Source organism: Homo sapiens, chromosome 5 (assembly GCF_000001405.40).
Source record: "Homo sapiens chromosome 5, GRCh38.p14 Primary Assembly".
In the NCBI taxonomy this organism is placed as follows: Eukaryota; Metazoa; Chordata; class Mammalia; order Primates; family Hominidae; genus Homo; species Homo sapiens.
In genome coordinates this window covers 14,432,965-14,450,358 of record NC_000005.10, presented here as the reverse complement: position 1 = coordinate 14,450,358, position 17,394 = coordinate 14,432,965, and the positions used below count along the sequence as shown (strand labels likewise).

The following is a 17,394-nucleotide window of genomic DNA, read 5'->3' as shown; positions in this document are numbered from 1 at the left end:
CAGAACACAATGTAATCACTGGCATCAATTAAAACCAACCCAGTGAAAAACAACTGCTCTTCTTTGTGAATTATGAAAATGAGAACACACTGCAGTCTCCCCATTTTGGGCTAGTCTTCATGAGTCATGTCATGAAAAGAGAATGGCCTCATCACCACTCAAGAGTGAGGAGTCCTAGAGATATGAGGCCGGCCGCGTCGATCTCACCAAACAGAACAAGCCAACGGAAGTCACATGTACACACTGGCTCTTACACTCTTATTCTCAGCGTCGTTTCTGAAAACACTGAAAACATTACATAAGCATTGGAAAATGTAGCTATGTAGACAAATGCAAGACTTTGAGCATCATTTTTCCTCTCAAGCTGATTCTTGGAAGGGGAATGCTAATCTATCAGCATTTCTGGTCAGGAAACCATTTCATTTTAAAGGTCTTTCTTTTTATTTTCACCACTGAAATTTCCAATAAAGAAACGTGAAGAAATTAAATGTAAATGAAAACAGATGGTAAGATCCTTTGCTTGGTTAATCAGATGCACAGGATCTCACATATTGCCAAAGTGAAAGTGTAAAACACCTCAGAAATAAAATAAATGAAGAAAGAGTCCAATTACTGATCGTGGATAACAGTAAAAATGGGCTAGTGTGGATCAACGTAAGGAATTAAAACAAGGCTAGAGACTGGAGTTATACATGTCCTGAACGGAACAGGACCTGGCTGGCCTGAGGCTCAGGAATGCTTTAGAAACACGTGGTCTGCAGCTGGTGGACAGTTGATCACTAGGCTGTTGGCTTCCAGGAAAAGATGAGCCTATAGCTGTTCTGCCTTGTGACCAGCAGCCGAGCAACAAGAGGCCAACATAGGAATCAAGTGGTGGTTGTTGGGCTAGTCTTAGTGAGTCACGTCTTGAAAGAAAATGGCCTCATCACCACCCAGAGTGAGAAGCCCTAGAGATAGGAGGCTGGCCGCGTCGATGTCACCAAACAGAACATGCCAGTGCTAACGGAAGCCGCCTCCATGGGACTTTCTCTGCTTCCCACTACACTGCCTCCCAGCAGAGATGGGGCCGAGAGGGCGTCTTTCATCCCACCGGCCGTGGAAGCAGTCTGTTCTGCCTGCCTCATCTCCCATTTCCTTCCAGAGGTGAGATGGGGTGAACCAGGCAGACTCAGATTGATGGCTCGCCTGGCAGATGGCCACACATTGTTAAAAACCACGATGTCATAAAAAATCACTAGGTTGTAAAAAAGTCTTTTTTAACCCAACTCTGTAGGCCGAGGCTTACTTTTTAATGTGATCTTTCTCTACTCTGGACAAATACTGACTTGACTAGAGGAGAATGTCTAGGCCATATTGCTGTCTTGAAATGATAGGGCCATTTTCACTGCTTTTTAAGTAAGCCAGCCCCTAAAATATATTTTTTGGGAAGATGAACAGTATGCTTTTTCTGTAACCAAAAGTCTAAGCTATAACAAAAGGAAAAAATCCCCAAGGAACTATCTTACCAGTGATTACTGGGAGGGGACTTGGACTCATTCCTGACTTTTACACAAGAACAAAAGCAGATAGCCTTGCTGGGTGAAAGAGAGACACTTAAAAAAAAAAAATTCCATATAAATGAAACCAGAAAGACACACACACATCCTGCCAGCTGAAGACATCCATGCCCAGCAGCTTTCTGCCCCGCTCCTAACGCGCAGTCCACATGGCTCTTTAGTACTGGCTGGGGGTAGTGGACCTTGGAAAGGTGATGTCGCATCAGCCCTCGTGGGGAAAGTTCTCCAGCCAGGGAGTGGCCCCACTGCCCGCATCGAGCCCCAATGTGGCACTGTTCCAGGGTCCTCTTTTCAGTCTGACAGCAGAGGTCAGGGGAGATCCGGTTCCCTGCACCTCTCCTGCATGACAGAACAACAGGCATAAGGCCACGTCTAGGCCTGCTGTGAGACAACCCACGCTCTGATGGAGGCTGAGGGCGAGGATGCAGCATGTGACCCCATATTCCCCCAGCCCCCGCCCCAGGCAGGCAAGGAGCGACAGCCTGCTGCGGCACTCTGGGCTCTGGTCTGTTTAAATGCTCAGAAAGCAAGAACTTCTGAATGCTCCTCTAGTTGTGTGGCTTTTTCAGATGTTTCTGATCCTCTGTGTTCCCAAAAAGTCAAATGGCTGTTCTTTTCACAAAATTACCCAAGATTCGTATTACTCATACAAAGAAAGATTATTAAAAACAAAACAAAACAAAACAAATTCAGCATGCGTATGAGACTATTATTTTGTGTACTGCTGACTGAGGGATACCGAAGTTCTCCCTGTTATAAAATAATGGGTTCTTGATTCTTAATTTCTCTATATGGGAAGTTATTCCCAAGGCAATAAAGTACTTATTATTGTCCTGAATAGACAACCATCATGTAAGGAAACAGAAAGTTAATTCTGGGGGAAATAAGCAGTCCCACGGTGCTCACACACCCTTCTGTCCATCTGAGTCTGCCTTCCAGAGGTGCTCACCCAGTTAAGAAACATGAATGTTGAACCCATGGGCATAATAGTTCTTGACATTAAACACAGAGTGTTAGAAATGAAAGATCTAATCTTACATGAAGAAGGCATATGGAAGTGTATTCTTCATAATGAATATTTATTTTTGGCTAATGTCTTCCTATGATTTGTTGAAAAAAAATGAAATCACTTTGGCTGCTTTGTTAAAGAGGATACCAAAGACGTTGGGGGCAGGGGGCTATACGCAGATTTTTTAAAAAGTTGAAACATGTCTTTAAATGAAGCAGGTGGCACAAAAAGACTCTCCCAGGCAAAACGGTTTTAAAAATTGTGCAATTAGTGGTTTAAACTATATGACTGATTTATTTCAGGAGGTGAATGATTTCTCTTCATTCATGTATACATTTATTATTATTTTAAAAAATTTATACCAGATTCAGAATGCTAGCATGGAAACATCTTTTACCTACATTCAAGAAAATTTACTATAAACCATGCTAACTTATACATGTTTTCACAGAGCCACATGACAACATACTAATTTTAATAACAGCATTAAGGGGAAAAAACGTGGCTTTGGAGTATTCTGCAATCAGCCTGCCAACTACTATTTCTCTTTATTTATTTATTTATGGGACAGTCTCGCTGTGTCACCCAGGCTGGAGTGCAGTGGCTTGATCTTGGCTCACTGTGACCTCCGCCTCCTGGGTTCAAGTGATTCTCCTGCCTTAGCCTCCCGAGCAGCTGGAATTATAGGTGCCCGCCACCACACCCGACTAATATTTTTGTATTTTAGTAGAGACAGGTTTTCACCATGTTGGCCAGCCTGGTCTTGAACTCCTGGCCTCAAGTGATCTGCCCACCTCGGCCTCCCAAAGTATTGGGATTACAGGTGTGAGCCACCACGCCCAGCCACTTTACACTGTCTACAGCAAAGGTTAGCTAAAGTTTCAGAGTTTCAAGGGATGGAATATTAGCTTAGAAAGAGCTACAGCTATGTAGAATGAGGAACCAGAAGATTATTTCCCCCCAATAAACCACAAAGCAAATATCTAGTACATTATATTATACAGTCCCTGGTTAATTCAAAAACAAAGAAACAAAAGCTGTAACCAATTAGGAATTCCTTTTACAATTATATTTGAGTAACTCCCCCATCAAAAGGAAAATGCTGCTCAACTAAAGCTAATAAGCACTTGGAAACAGGATGAAGACATGTCGCACAGACTGGAGGAGGTAAAGCGCCCCCAGGTGCATGCACCCCACAGGTACCATCTACTCCCAAGCACACAAAGCATTACGGGATGCAACACCAAGACCTGAACTAATTTGATTTTATGACATCTTGTCCCCCTCTCTTCCCCCTGCCCACCCACATGCACTGAATGGCACTGCATTTTATTTTTCAAATCACCATTTTGTCATTTATTGAGAGCTGTCTCCCACTTTTTTGGGTTATCACATACTAAAACCACCACAACAATAAAGGCCAAAGACAAAAAGAAAAGAGGGCTGGAGCAACTGCTTTTGGAGTTCTCCATGTATCCCACATGGGGTTCAAACGCTGTCTCTCCAGTGCTGCCAGTGCCTGGGGAGAAGGCGGCTTTCTAAGAATGTCCCGCACCTTCCTGTTGTTAAGTCTTCCTGTGAGGAACTCTTCCCTGCCTGTCAAGCCTCGGAGTGATCACAGTGAGGATAGAGGAAGGGAGCGAGGGAGGGAGGGAGGGCTGGAGTTATTCCAGGCAGGAACAAAGCAAGCGCGGAGATGGAGACAAAGGGAATGAAAGGAACGCCTCTGCTAAGAACACCAATTAACAGCACGGATCTTGTCCTTGGCTGAATCAGTGCCCGTGGTGTGATGAAAGGCACGGCCACAGACCGGAGGCGACAGTGGGAAATAAGCAGACCGCCCCTGCGTGGGGCTGGGGCTCAGAGTGCCTGTGGTGGGCACTGTGCTGTCTTTCTTTTTAACTGGAGAGAGACAAAGGGAAAAACATTCCATGTTCAGTTCCTATGTCATAATAAGCACATCCCCTTTTTATTATGGAAGAGTTCCTTACTCAACTGCACGCCTGCTTCTGTGCCCTTGGGCCACTTCTTACCATAATCCATCAGCTTTCAAGGATAAAAGAGGAAGGGGAAGTTGCCTTAGGGCTAATATATTTTGTCTCAGAAGTTTTTCAAAGGCTGTATCCTTAGACAGAAGAATAATTCTAGTCTTCTCATGCTGATAGGTACAGGTCCATTTCACTACAGAAGGAATTGTTGATTTTAACAAGAAGTAGCAATAGCAAGGTTTCTCAACTGCGCATCTGAGAAACTGGACAATGGATATGATTGAGATGGTTTCTTATAGTCAAATATTAAAAGTATCAACAAAAGAAGCATCATTTTACATATAAACAGACTAGAAGATGTGTCCAACGTGATTAGTGGCTGCCTAAGGGTGCTATGTTCCCTTCTGCTGCTCGCTCTGTCTGGGAGTTTTCCACTTAGCACATATAGTTTCAGAGAAACTAGATATTTGGCGGGGGGTATGTGGTTTGCTCATATTTGTATGGTTTTATATGAGAATTGCAAAAAATTAATAGGAGCATCTTTATGGCTGCCCAGCCCCCACTGCCACTCCTTGGAGACAGGAAGAGGAAATGAGGAAGACTCCATGGATGAATTCCATGGCTTGTTACCCAGCTCCCAGGCCGACTCACTCTGTTTATGGACTTGCTCACGTGTCCCTGAGGCCAACTTTGAGCACCTGGAGGAAATTTTTCAGAATGAAAAACTATAAATTTGTGTTCCCCCAAAATCTAGTGAAGAGATATACTTAGAAAGAGCACATACCAAAGACAGATTACAGTTAAACGAGGAGGGTGCCTGCTCCTTGTCTAGAAATAAGAAAAGAATTCCAAAACTAGGAAAAGCCACTTTGCCTGAAGGCTCCTAACCTGGGACCTGTGGGTTTCTTGGGCACTTTTTGGGGGAGGTTTCAGTCTAATTTTAATATTAACTTCAAAAACATTCTAATATTTCAAGATTTTATATTCACTCTAAAAAAGGCTATAATACCAAATAACTTCAAGTTTCTTTGCTTCTTGGCTAAAAATATATACAAATTCAATGTGTAACACTCTTTTTTCGTGTTTAACATGGAAGCAAGGGAACAAAATTATTTTTAAAATGCAGTTTGCTTAAAATGAAATAGAACCTTCAATGTAGATTTTGGAGAGCATAATAACCATAATAGCGAGCATTCTCTATCTTCTTTTGTTTGTTTGTTTTAAACACATGAGGAAACTGCAGCTCAGCGAGATTATCAAGAACTTATAAGATCACACAGGTAGGGGTGAGCAGGGACAAACTGGCTTCTACAGCAACACACCATTCCCACTATCCTATACTGCACATCCTGTCTTAAACCATTCACTTAAAGATACTTAAAGGGCAAAAAACGATTTGAGATAGAATTTAGTTTGCACAGCAACTTGTGTGACACAATCAGTCTTCACAGTCGAAACAATCCAACATTGTGACAAGTACTTCTGTGGTTTTTGTTTATTCATGTGAAACTGAATATTCCATGTACTGACAGCTTTAATTTGAGGCAGTACTGTTCATCCACTTGGATACTTTCAGAATAGGTTCATATTATGTATTTCTTCAGCAAAGAAATTTCTTTATCCTATATTTAGTCTTTGGAATGTTTCCCTTTAATTTATAAAAACAAAAATTGCAGTGGTGAGAATCCATATTCCTAACCCAAACAGAAAGAAAAAAAAAAAAAAGACTTCAAGAGAATTCAAGAATTATAAAGCACACAGTTCACTTTGTGTAAGAGTCTGTTCAGTGTTAAGGAGAGTCACCAGATTATGTTTTTCCTGAGCTTGAGTCAGGGGAATACGTATAGCACTGGAATAGATTCCATCTGTCCTATAAAAGGGAATACTGATTTCAGAATGATAACCAACCCAATAGTTCCACTCTCTTATCCGTAGAACTAGGCTCTCCCATTGGAAACGTCATAAAAGAAGATTTACAGTTCTTCTTGACCTTACCTTCTCTTATTTTCTTAACAATCGCTTAGCAGTAAAACTCTCCTGGCTCATGTCTGTGTAAGTTATTGACAATGGCAATGTCAGCACATAAAACAGGCTTCTGTGCAGATTACTCCAAGCAAGACTGGTTCACATTTGGACAGGGGGATGCCCCAATGAACTTCAGGAAGCAGGAAAACTGCCTTTTCCCAAAGTACTCTAACACATGAAGCCCCAGACTGCTTGCAGGTGTAAGACGGGCTTTGCAATCACACTCAGTGATTTCATGGGCACTGTAAAGTTACTTTGGGATTTATTTCTTGGATATTACCCAGAATCATTCTTCCTTTTAAAATGTGATGCATATGTATTTCCCCATAATCAATTTAATAGGTAAAATCAGAATATTAAAACATCACTCTGATATAACAGCATTCAGGAAATTGTCTTGAAATTACTATAAGCGTTAGAAAAGGATGGGCAGGCACTTTCTACACACACACGCATATGCACGAATTTCGCTTTTTCTTATCTATCCTTTATGGTGAAGTGATCATTTTTTGTTCAGGAAATTCCACACGGGTCATCAATTTTTCTTACGAATTTTTCCTAGCTTAAAAATTCTGAGGTGACAGCTTGAAGAACACCACCTAGAGCTTCTTAATAGTTTAAGAATTACCAACAAAAATATATAGAGAGAAACAAAAAATGTAACAGCACAATTATCCTCTAGTACTTTAAAAAGCGAATTTAATAATGTCCCTTGAGAAGAATTCTGAAGGAATTAAGATACCACTAAGATTCAAAAATTCCCTCTACAGAAAGAATGCTATGTCTTAAGATCCATTACTCTTTAGAAAAATTGTTCATTAAAATATTTTGTTCTAAACTTTGGGGATGTTTATGATATCCTGAGGGGCGTGCTCTATTGTTACTCCCACTTTGCAGACAAAGAAAGAGAAGTTCAGAGAGAGAAGGTAATTTACTCAAGATTCAGAGCTAGCTAGCGGCTGAGGCATCAAATCAGACTTTTCATGTGACCAGTTGTTCTTTGCACTGCACAGAAATTACTACATTAAATTAGGAGAGCAGATGCATCATCTACTTTAACCCACCCAGTGCAGGAATTCCTAGCGCACAGGGTCCCCGAGGGACCTACCCAGCTTGCACACCTGCAGACAGGGAGGTCACCATCTTCGAGTGGTAAAACAATTAGCATAAATATGACAAAAAGAGCCCAGGGTCAAAGACTTTTTAAAGGTTTTGTGAACAAAAATACAAGGAGTATTATTGAAAATGATGTTGAGAACCACACATGCAACATTCACGCAGCCAACTCTTACCTCCTAGTATTCCATGAACAAATGGGTAGAGTTAAGCAGCGCCACTTCCCCTTCAGATGCCCAATACATATTTTCTGTGCCCCCCTTTTGATCCGACACCCTACCCCCTTTCTTTGGGGGATCCCTGCACCCCGAAAGACCCTTCTCCATAGAGCTCTTAATGAACTGGAAGTGCCCCGTTAAGTCTCAGCAAATCCCCTTGGCTCTCTGCGTCTTGCCGCCCACTTCCGAAGCATATACGCGGATAACGGCTGACAAGAAAGTGAAGGCAAACACTGAAAGTGACCCAGGCCAAGACCCAAATTCTGGTAGAGAGCATTCCTGCTGGCATGCAGGTGGCACCCTGTGAGAGACTCCTTTTTTCGGCTGTATGGTCTGGACAGAGAGCTGTCAAAGGTTACTGAAACAAAGCTGGCCTCTGGAACAGGGCAGCATTCCATGGGCATCTGCAGACCCAACTCCCCTCACCTTGTCTCTTTTGTATCCTGTTGCCTTTTCCTCAAAGTGAAGCTTACCGACCTCTCAAATAACCTTTGCAGGAATCACATCTTCACGTCTTTTCCCTAGTTCCGCAGATAAAGCCAGAATCTGGCACAGACACTCCCTTGAATACAATGGCAACGTTGGAAGCATCCCTCTCCCCAGCTAACTTTGTATTATCTTATCATATGGCTGTAGTTCTCATGGAGAGCCAGAGTCTAAATATGTTAGGACATGTTGTTTTCTCTAGTCTGAAAACCTCCAAACAAAATTAAACCTGAAACAGACATAAAGCCAACTAAAATCATAAGGCAATTTGTAGCACAGATTACTTTACACTCTTTACATGCCATTTATAAGAAAAAGGGATAATAAAAAGCAGTCCCCAGATATTAAAAAGGTCTTACAACACACAATGGATGTGCAGTGCTCTGTTCCCAGTTGCTCCTCACATTCCCAGTGGCCCCCCCATAAACCATCTCCCAGACACAGCCCCCTCCCAAGGTGGTCACCACGGAACACGTTTCAGGTTCCAAGCACAAAACATTTCTGTTTTAAAGCACATGTCAATCACTGCGCAGCCACTGGAAAGAAAGCAGGCAGAGAGAAAGCAGCGCCAGCCCGAGCATCTGCAGAGAGCTTGTGTACCTAGGTCGAGGATCCAGTACTTGCAGGTGCCCGGCTGCCCGCCGCTGCAGTAGGCTGAACTGACAGAGGACAGCGAGTCCAGCGTGTCCACTGGCTTCAATCCGTTGGGCATGGTGACTGGAGCCGACTGGAGGCTAAAGGTGCAGAACCCCTATCCTACCTCTCCCTCCACAGCAGCTAGAGCCACCCGCTTGGCAGCAAAAGCAGCGACCAGCTAAACAGACACTCAGACACAGACTGGGACGCGACAGGGACAGGCACACAGACTGGCAGCGTGTTGCTCAGCGGCCGGCGCCAGCCCACGGCCCGGCCCAGCGCGCGCCTCTCCCTCGCTGGCGTCTGAGCGCGCGCGCGCGCGCTGCAGTTGGGTTTCACAAGTGGGAATACCCAGACGCGGTGGATTTCATTCTACCACACTGACTCTAATTGGAGCTCAAGGAAATTCTTCAGGCACCCTGGAAACCAGATGTCTCTCCCCGCCTGCACTAGCCAGAGCTGCAATTTCCTTACTCAGTGAAATGTGAAGTGACAGTTGCCCTCCCCACGCAGGCCGTTCTGAATGGCTTCCCTGACTTGGGCTTTGTGTACATCTGGAGGGAGGTCCGCCCTGAGACTCACACACCAAACAGCACCTCCTGATGTGACTTGATAAAAAAAAAGAAATGTAATGCGGCCTAATAGCCAACTGGTTACATCACTGTGCTGTAATGCCGCTCCTCACTTATTAAAAACATATCTTCATTCTTCCTCACAGGAAGCAGCCAGAGAACTGAAAATGTAAATTCTTGCATGCGAACTATAAGGAGTTTTTAGGAAAGCGTATCTTAGAAGTTCTTTCTTGTCTTCCTTGGAAATTGGATCTTTTCCTTAGCGGAGAAACATTCTTACTCTCTCTTTGAAAGTTTCCATATGTTCGCTCCCTTGTCCCACACCACACAATGGCTTCAGAGGAGAATGTCCACTGCGTGGGAACTGTCGGGTCTGACTTCCAGCTTCTGTGGTGTGTGTGCGCTCCCCTGTTCCTCGGTGCCCTCCACACTAGACCTGGATGCCCTTGCCTTGGTCTGACGAAAAGTCACCTGGAATATTCGCCACATATCTCAACCTGTAGTGTGGCTCTGAGCTGCTTACAATTTCTTTGAGGAAGTGTTCTTTGTTGAACCTTAAGAAAACATGTACTATCTTGAATTCTTTATATTAATAATTTTTCTCATGTCTGCTTTATCTAACTTGACAGTATAAACAATTTTATTTGTGCTGTTTTTTATGGCTTTGCTAAGAAGAATGTTGCCTTTTTTTACTTCCTCAGTTAAAAAAAAGTTAAAATTTTGGTTTTGTCCCCACCTCCACATTTGTTGCATAATAAAATTTTAAAATCCTCAAAGGAAAAAGAACGTGAAAACAGCACAGACTTCTAGTTTCTTTCTGAGTTTAAGACAATTAACTACTATAAAAATCAAGATGCTATATCCAGGGCACCCAGAGAAAACTGTCTCAGGCGCTCCAACGGCTCTCTCACCAACTGCTGCAGAGGGGAGTCTGGCATTTATGGGCCCACGTTAGGCTTCATATTCTTCTTAAAACACCAAAAGCAAAGCGTAAGGTTGTTTTTCCCTTTAAACGGTCCCGTGATAGATCCAGATGGTGTACTTATGCCAGGACCCAGCGAGAGGCAGAGTTCTGCACAGAGCACATTTTATGTAAGAGAAGACAACTTTATTGCCAAATAAATAACCTCCTCTTTTGTTAGCAAAAAGCACTAAAAATTATGACCTAAAGGAAATCAAGTTAATTGACATTCTAAGGTTTCAGTTACTACAACCGTTATTAAAAAGTTGACTTTGTCCCTTTCCAAAATACGGACTGCCAACATGGGCCATTAATTTAAAAACTAAAAAAGAGCTGTCAGGGAATTTAATTACTTTATGTGTAATATAAGTTCTCTATGAAAGAAAAGAGGATTAAGCTTAAAAATGAGTACAATAATTTTGGCTAAAGATGTATGGGAAATTTCCCTAGGGACTGATCACTTCAAATCTCAAGTTTGGGCCAGGCGCGGTGGCTCATGCCTGTAATCCCAACACTTTGGGAGGCTGAGGCAGGTGGATCATGAGGTCAGGAGTTCGAGACTAGCCTGGCCAACATGGTGAAACCCCATCTCTATTAAAAATACAAAAATTAGCTAGGCATGACGGCACATGCTTATAATCCCAGCTACTCAGGAGGCTGAGGCAGGAGAATCGCTTGAACCCAGGAGGTGGAGGATGCAGTGAGCTGAGATTGTGCCATTGCACTCTAGCCTAGGTGACAGACTCCATCTCAAACAAACAAACAAAAACAAAAAAAAACCCTCAAGTTCACATCTGTCAGAGGTGTAGCATCGCACAGATGAGGGAGTGAGGAAGGAAGACGCCTTCTGGGTCCCCTCCCTCCTTCCAGTCATGTAGGTGAGAGACTGCAGAGCGTGTCAGATGGGACAGGGCATTTTATACAGTAAGTAAAGAGAAATTATCTCAATTAAAGGCATGCCCTGAAGGGCGACAACCTGAGCCACTAGACAGAAACGCGGAACCAGCGGAAATGCGGAGGTGAGTAAATGACCGATGGGAGAGGAGGCGAGGCAAAAGGAAAGGAAGGAAGTCCAAATCACTGGCAAAATTTCCCTGGAAATAAGTTTTGACGCCAAGGCCTATTTCTACCATGGTGGCATGGCCAGGGATCTGGTCTGAGAATCTGAACAGACTCGGTTCAGGAGAAGACGACACAGGGGTTAGTGACCTCAACAGACCGTGGGAAGAAACCCTGGTTCAAAACCATGGCCGTGAGGGTGGGAAGGAGAAGGAGGTGAAAACAGGTGGGTGACTTGGTTAACTGGGAACAAATTACAGAAGCGACAATGTGATGTAACCAGAAAGGAAACTGGAAGCTACTGAAAGGCTTGAGAAAGGGGACAATGAGGTTAAAGCTTTGAGTCTTAAACCTCATTTGATCTGCTGAATGAGTCTATCTGCCGTGTGAGAACATTAGCAAGTAAGTAAAGGGGGTCAGGAAATGATGTCAGAAGCCTGAATTGTCAATGAACAGGACCTCGAAAAGGAATGAAACAGTGAGACAGGTTTAGTGCAGATGGAGTTGAATTTTGCAAAGAAAGGAGAGAGATGTGAAAATGGAGCGAATGGGGTGGGTCAGAGACAAACGTCACAGGCACTTGGCGGAAGAGAACACGTGTAATGTAGAAATTTAACGGAGTTTGTGAAGGAAAACAAGAACTTCTGTTTTTTGGTATTTTTGATAATTTTTGACATTTTACTTTGATGGCTGGACACACAATTTAAAATGTCACAGAGAGAACAGAAGATCCATCAAGATAGTGCTGCTTTAAGGACATAACGTTTGTCTCTGAGGACCAAAGCTAGAGATGCTGGGAAGGAACAAAAGGGTGATATCTATGTCAAGCAAATTGGGCACTGACTCTTAACATCATGGCCATATTTCACATCGCCCCAAACCAAATCATTACAATCTACCAGGATGGTGGGATTACGGGCTGAACTGTGTATTCCCCAATTCCTATGCTGATGTCCCAAGCCCTGGACCTTGGAATGCGACTGTGCTTTGAGGCGGAAATTTAAAGAGGTGAAAGAGTTAAAATGAGGTCCTTGGGGCGGGGGGGGTGGTCCTCATCCAATATGCCTGGTGTCCTCACGGGAAGAGGAGATGAGGGCACAGACATGCACAGAAGAAAGTTCTTGCCTCTGCAAGCCAAGAAGAGAGGCCTCAGGAGAAACCTACTCTGCTGACACCCTGATCTCTAACTCTCAGTCTCCAGAAAATAAATTTCTGTTGTTTGAACCAGGCAGTGTGTGGTACTTTGTTACAGCTGCCCCAGGCACAGCTCATCAGGGCATGAGTGTGTGAGGGGTACTATACTCCAAATGGAATATAAATACGCAGAAACCAATGAACCCAGCTGAACAACATCACCCCGAGGTGGGTGGGGAAGAAAACAACTAACCTAACTTTGAAAAACAGCTTTTTGATTGTATACTGTAAAACCAAAGGAAAAAAAATCTGTAAGTTTCTTCCATGAGTATGGGTTAGCAATTCTGAAACTACTATAGTGAGAATGGGTGGAGCTGAGTCTCACAGTCATAATTAGTAAAAAATTCAATATCCAAACAGGAGAGGGAAAAAAAGAACTTTTAGAATAGGATGGAACAAATAATCACATTCCAGAGAATGAAATCCAAGTGTCTTACTATCAAAGAAAGAGGTTACAAATGAGGAAAGGAAGAAGGTTAGAATAAAGCCTTTGTTGATAGATTGCAGACACTTCAGTATGATGTAAAGTCATACACACACATACAGGAGCCTAGTGGAGCTGTGAGAAGAGGGCCACCACCCTCCAGACCCGCAGAATGGCAGACCCACTGACACAGCTTGCACCGTGAGCCTGGAAAAGCTGCAAACAATGCCAGTCCGTGAAAGCAACCAGGAGGGAGGCTTTGCCCTGCCAAGCCACAGAGGCAGAGCTGTCCAAGACCATGGGAACCCACCTATCAGCGTGACCTGGATGTGAGACATGGAGTCAAAGGAGATCATTTCTGAGTTTTAAGATTTGACTGCTCTGCTGGATTTCAGACTTGCATGGGGTCTGTAGCCCCTTTGTTTTGGCCAATTTCTTCCATTTGGAATGGCTGTATTTACCCAATATCTATACCCCCATCGTATCTAGGAAGTAACTAACCTGCTTTTGATTTTACAGGCTCATAGGTGGAAGGGACTTGCCTTGTTTTGGATGAGACTTTTGACTGTGGACTTTTGAGTTATTGCTGAAATAAGACTTTGGGGGACTGTTTGGAAAGTATGATTGCTTTTGAAAGGTGATGACATGAGATTTGGGAGGGACCAGGGGTGGAATGATACGGTTTGGCTGTGTCCCCACCCAAATCTCATCTTGAATTCCCACGTGTTGTGGGAGGGACCTGGTGGGAAGTAATTGAATCATGGGGGCAAGTTTTTCCCGTGCTGTACTTGTGACAGTGAATAAGTCTCATAAGACCTGACGGTTTTACAAAGAGGAGTTCCCCTACACAAGCTCTCTCTTGCTTTGCCTGCTGCCATCCATGTAAGATGTGACTTGTTCCTCCTTGCCTTCCATCAAGATTGTGACGCCTCCCCAGTCACATGGAACTGTAAGTCCAATAAACCTCTTTCTTTTGTAAATTGCCTAGTCTCAGCAGTGTGAAAACAGATGAATACAAGAAGAGACGGAGATGGGGGCAGGGGAGGATGGAGGAGGGGAAACAGAAAATACAGATGTTTATGTATGCATGGGTTGGTACACACACATCTGCTAAGAGGGCCTGAAGCCATGGCAACACACAGCAATGAGCATACCTAGCACCCAAACCTTAGTTTCTAAGACCATTCTCCAACAAAACGGACCAGGAGGGCTTCTTGGAGAAATGGCTGACTCCAGGACTGTGGCAGGCAAAATACAATATGAGCCTGGTACATCCTATAGTGCCAGAAAGTAAAGGAGTGCTCTAAAACAAGTTGGGAGCACGTCAGAAGTTCACAGACAGGGCTCCTGATAGCCACAGCTGGAACAATCTAAGAAGAAAACAATGACAGCACTGGGTTATGATCCACACAATAAGTATCCACGACTCCAACTGATATAAGTAAAGAATGGCAGAGGGACAGCTCTTATAGAAGAATTCCAACTGATAAATTCAGAAGGAATGAGGAAACTATGAAATACCATTAGGTAAGCACTATAGTGTTGTAGGCAAGAACTACTGAGGGATGCCAAAATTAGAGGGTAAAGGTAGGATGAGAAACAGAGTATTGCACAGTTCAAAAATATTTCCCCACAAGGTATTTATTAATTACAAAGAGAAAAACAGTAACTTTACAGTGGGGGAAATGCTGCAGATGCTACTGAGACAGTGAGGTGAAAGGGGGTCCCTGGAAACACTCCAACCAGCCTGCACATTGTGGTGGAGCCTCGGGAAGTCTGCACCCTTTGCAGCGGGGAGGAGCTCAGCTTCTCCTCTTCCTGTGTGGAACCTGGGATTCAAACTGCGGGTGCTCTAGCAGGGAGTCCGGCCTCGTGGAGGATCCTTCTTTCCCCCTTTTTTTCCCTTTTCACCCAATAAAACCCTGCTGTACTCAGCCTTCAAACCATCTGCAAGCCTAAATTTTCGTGGCCATGGGATGGATGAGGACCCTGTCTTTAGCTGAACTAAGGAAAAGTCCTGCGACACTACTTTAGCCAGGTGACCAAGGTCCACACACCGACAGGGAGACGTCTCAGGATACCCTGTACCCCTGACGTGATGCACGGAGAAGGGCACAATAGCATCAGTGCTGTTCTTGCCCAACATGCATGAGCTAAATTTAAGAGAAAACACTGCTTTATTTACTATTAGATAAACTCAAATTGGGAGGCATCTTATGACAGAAAGGACCAGTATGCCTTAAAATTGTCAAGGTCATGAAGAAGAAAAAAGACTGAAGAGCTGCTACAGATTGGGGGAAATTATTAAGTCGGTGCAAAAGTAATTGTGCCTTTTGCCACTGAAATGGCAAAAACTGCAATTACTTTTGCATCAACCTAAATAAATACAATGTGGATTCTTAATTGACTATTAAGCCAGAGAGAGGACATGAAAGCAAAATCCAGGATAAGGCCCAGGGCTTAGTTAAGAGCACTGCATTCGGGTTCATGCCCGATTTTCATCACCGTATGTGAGATGTTACTATTGGGGGAGCTGGGTACAGGGTGTACAGAAATTCTCTGAACTATTTTTGTCACTTTTCTGTAGGTCCAAAATTATTTCATAATTGTTTTTAAAAATAAAAAAAAAACTGAGTGTTGTGTTATTTAAATGCAAATAGCTAAAGAAACTGAGAGTATGAAAAAGTTACCAGAAAAAAGTAGGTAAAGTCAGAGAAGATCTTTGTAGAAAAAGAAACGTATCAGACAAATTAAAGATCTGTAAATAAAGGGGTTTATGATTATCGAAAAAAATGTACTGAAGGAACACAATACAAAATGTATTTTTCCACATACTTTTGTGGGACAAAAGAATGAACAAAATTACAATAGTCAATCTTATTTTCGTGAAAATTAAAGTATTTTTATTTAGATTAGTTGAAAAGCAGCTCATATGGTCATGGTCAAAGTTAATGCCCACGAAATTTACTTTTTATGTAGCCTTCTCTTGTAACAATTATTTCTCAAATATTTAAAATTTGGACTTCAATTTCAAGTGTCTGTTATTAATCTGCCCATAAAAAATGAGACAAGTAATTTCTGCCAAAAGGAGTCTAAAACAAAAGCAGTAAAAAGGATCAATATACAAATGGTGCTTTAAAAATGAAGACTAGAAATATACTTAAGGCTAAAATTAAGATGAGCCAAAGGACCTGAAGTCTTTCTATTGAAATTATGATGCTTTTTGAGTAAACATATATTTATAATTAAGCAATTAATATAGAATGAAAAGATCCTTAAAATCAAAATCAAAATACTGGATATATAAAACAACATTAGCTGAATTCTGAGATTAGATCTTGAATGATATAATGATTAGGAATATTATAATTTCCTCTAAAAATCAGGAGTGTTTTCTGAGACTTGATTAATACTGATAAAATTTCAGTATTCTACCTTGAAGTCAGTCCTCAAACCCCAATTATTAAAAGGAGCACACAGCTCTGCAGCTGAGGATGCTGGGCCCCTGAAATGTCATACCATTTTTTTAAAGTAGTAATTCTGGACTGTTTTCCTTTCGCCACCTCCCTGGCCCTTGTTTTCTTCCCCATGCGTTTCCGCTCTGCACAATATGTCCACAGTGCTGGCTTCAAGCACAGCTGCACCACCAGGATTGAGTCTCTCAGGTTCCATGCACAAAGATACTCCTGTTCAGAGGAAGTTTTCTCCGGTTTCTTTACCCCATAGATAATACCTCCTGCTCTGGAGGGAAAGGGATGACGAAACCCCTGCTTCTTAGGGCTCCATTCAGCACAGGAGTTCCTGCTGCTTTCTAGCACAGTTGCCAATCCACAAAAGCACCTTTATGGAGGCATTCAAACTCTTCATGTGGGTGCCAAGAATTCGATAGGCTCCTTTTCATTGCTTTATTTACTATCTTTTCACAAACTATGTGAGTTTTTCTCTTTCTTTAACAAACCAAACATTCAAATACTCCTTTTTTACATTTCACTTTAACTATGTGACATTCTCTGTTTGCACCAGCATTGTGGATTATTTACAGAACTGCAACGTGATATGGTAACCTCACAAATCGTGTTTCTCAAAAAAGTAACAAAAACAACAGTGCTCAAAAAATTAAGAGCCATGTAGCTAACTCTTGACTGCCAAC

The 17,394-nt window shown here is 42.7% G+C and overlaps 1 protein-coding gene across 11 annotated transcripts in view, besides 5 other annotated features; it reads right to left on the bottom strand.

The window, feature by feature from the left end:
- Positions 1-17,394, bottom strand: part of TRIO (trio Rho guanine nucleotide exchange factor) — a 366,863-nt gene that overhangs the window by 59,846 nt on the left and 289,623 nt on the right. The gene's annotated exons all lie outside the window — the stretch shown is intronic.
- Positions 60-109: an enhancer, noted in NCBI's record as "active region_22403". NCBI's record gives its function as "activates an Ori minimal core promoter by ATAC-STARR-seq in GM12878 lymphoblastoid cells {active_cell/tissue: GM12878}" and the evidence as "EXISTENCE:reporter gene assay evidence [ECO:0000049][PMID:35858748]".
- Positions 1,867-1,916: an enhancer, noted in NCBI's record as "active region_22402". NCBI's record gives its function as "activates an Ori minimal core promoter by ATAC-STARR-seq in GM12878 lymphoblastoid cells {active_cell/tissue: GM12878}" and the evidence as "EXISTENCE:reporter gene assay evidence [ECO:0000049][PMID:35858748]".
- Positions 2,067-2,176: an enhancer, noted in NCBI's record as "active region_22401". NCBI's record gives its function as "activates an Ori minimal core promoter by ATAC-STARR-seq in GM12878 lymphoblastoid cells {active_cell/tissue: GM12878}" and the evidence as "EXISTENCE:reporter gene assay evidence [ECO:0000049][PMID:35858748]".
- Positions 3,929-4,455: an enhancer, noted in NCBI's record as "H3K27ac-H3K4me1 hESC enhancer chr5:14446013-14446539 (GRCh37/hg19 assembly coordinates)". NCBI's record gives its function as "activates a minimal SCP1, AML or CMV promoter by ChIP-STARR-seq in naive H9 embryonic stem cells {active_cell/tissue: H9 hESC(naive)}" and the evidence as "EXISTENCE:reporter gene assay evidence [ECO:0000049][PMID:30033119]".
- Positions 4,456-4,983: an enhancer, noted in NCBI's record as "H3K27ac-H3K4me1 hESC enhancer chr5:14445485-14446012 (GRCh37/hg19 assembly coordinates)". NCBI's record gives its function as "activates a minimal SCP1, AML or CMV promoter by ChIP-STARR-seq in naive H9 embryonic stem cells {active_cell/tissue: H9 hESC(naive)}" and the evidence as "EXISTENCE:reporter gene assay evidence [ECO:0000049][PMID:30033119]".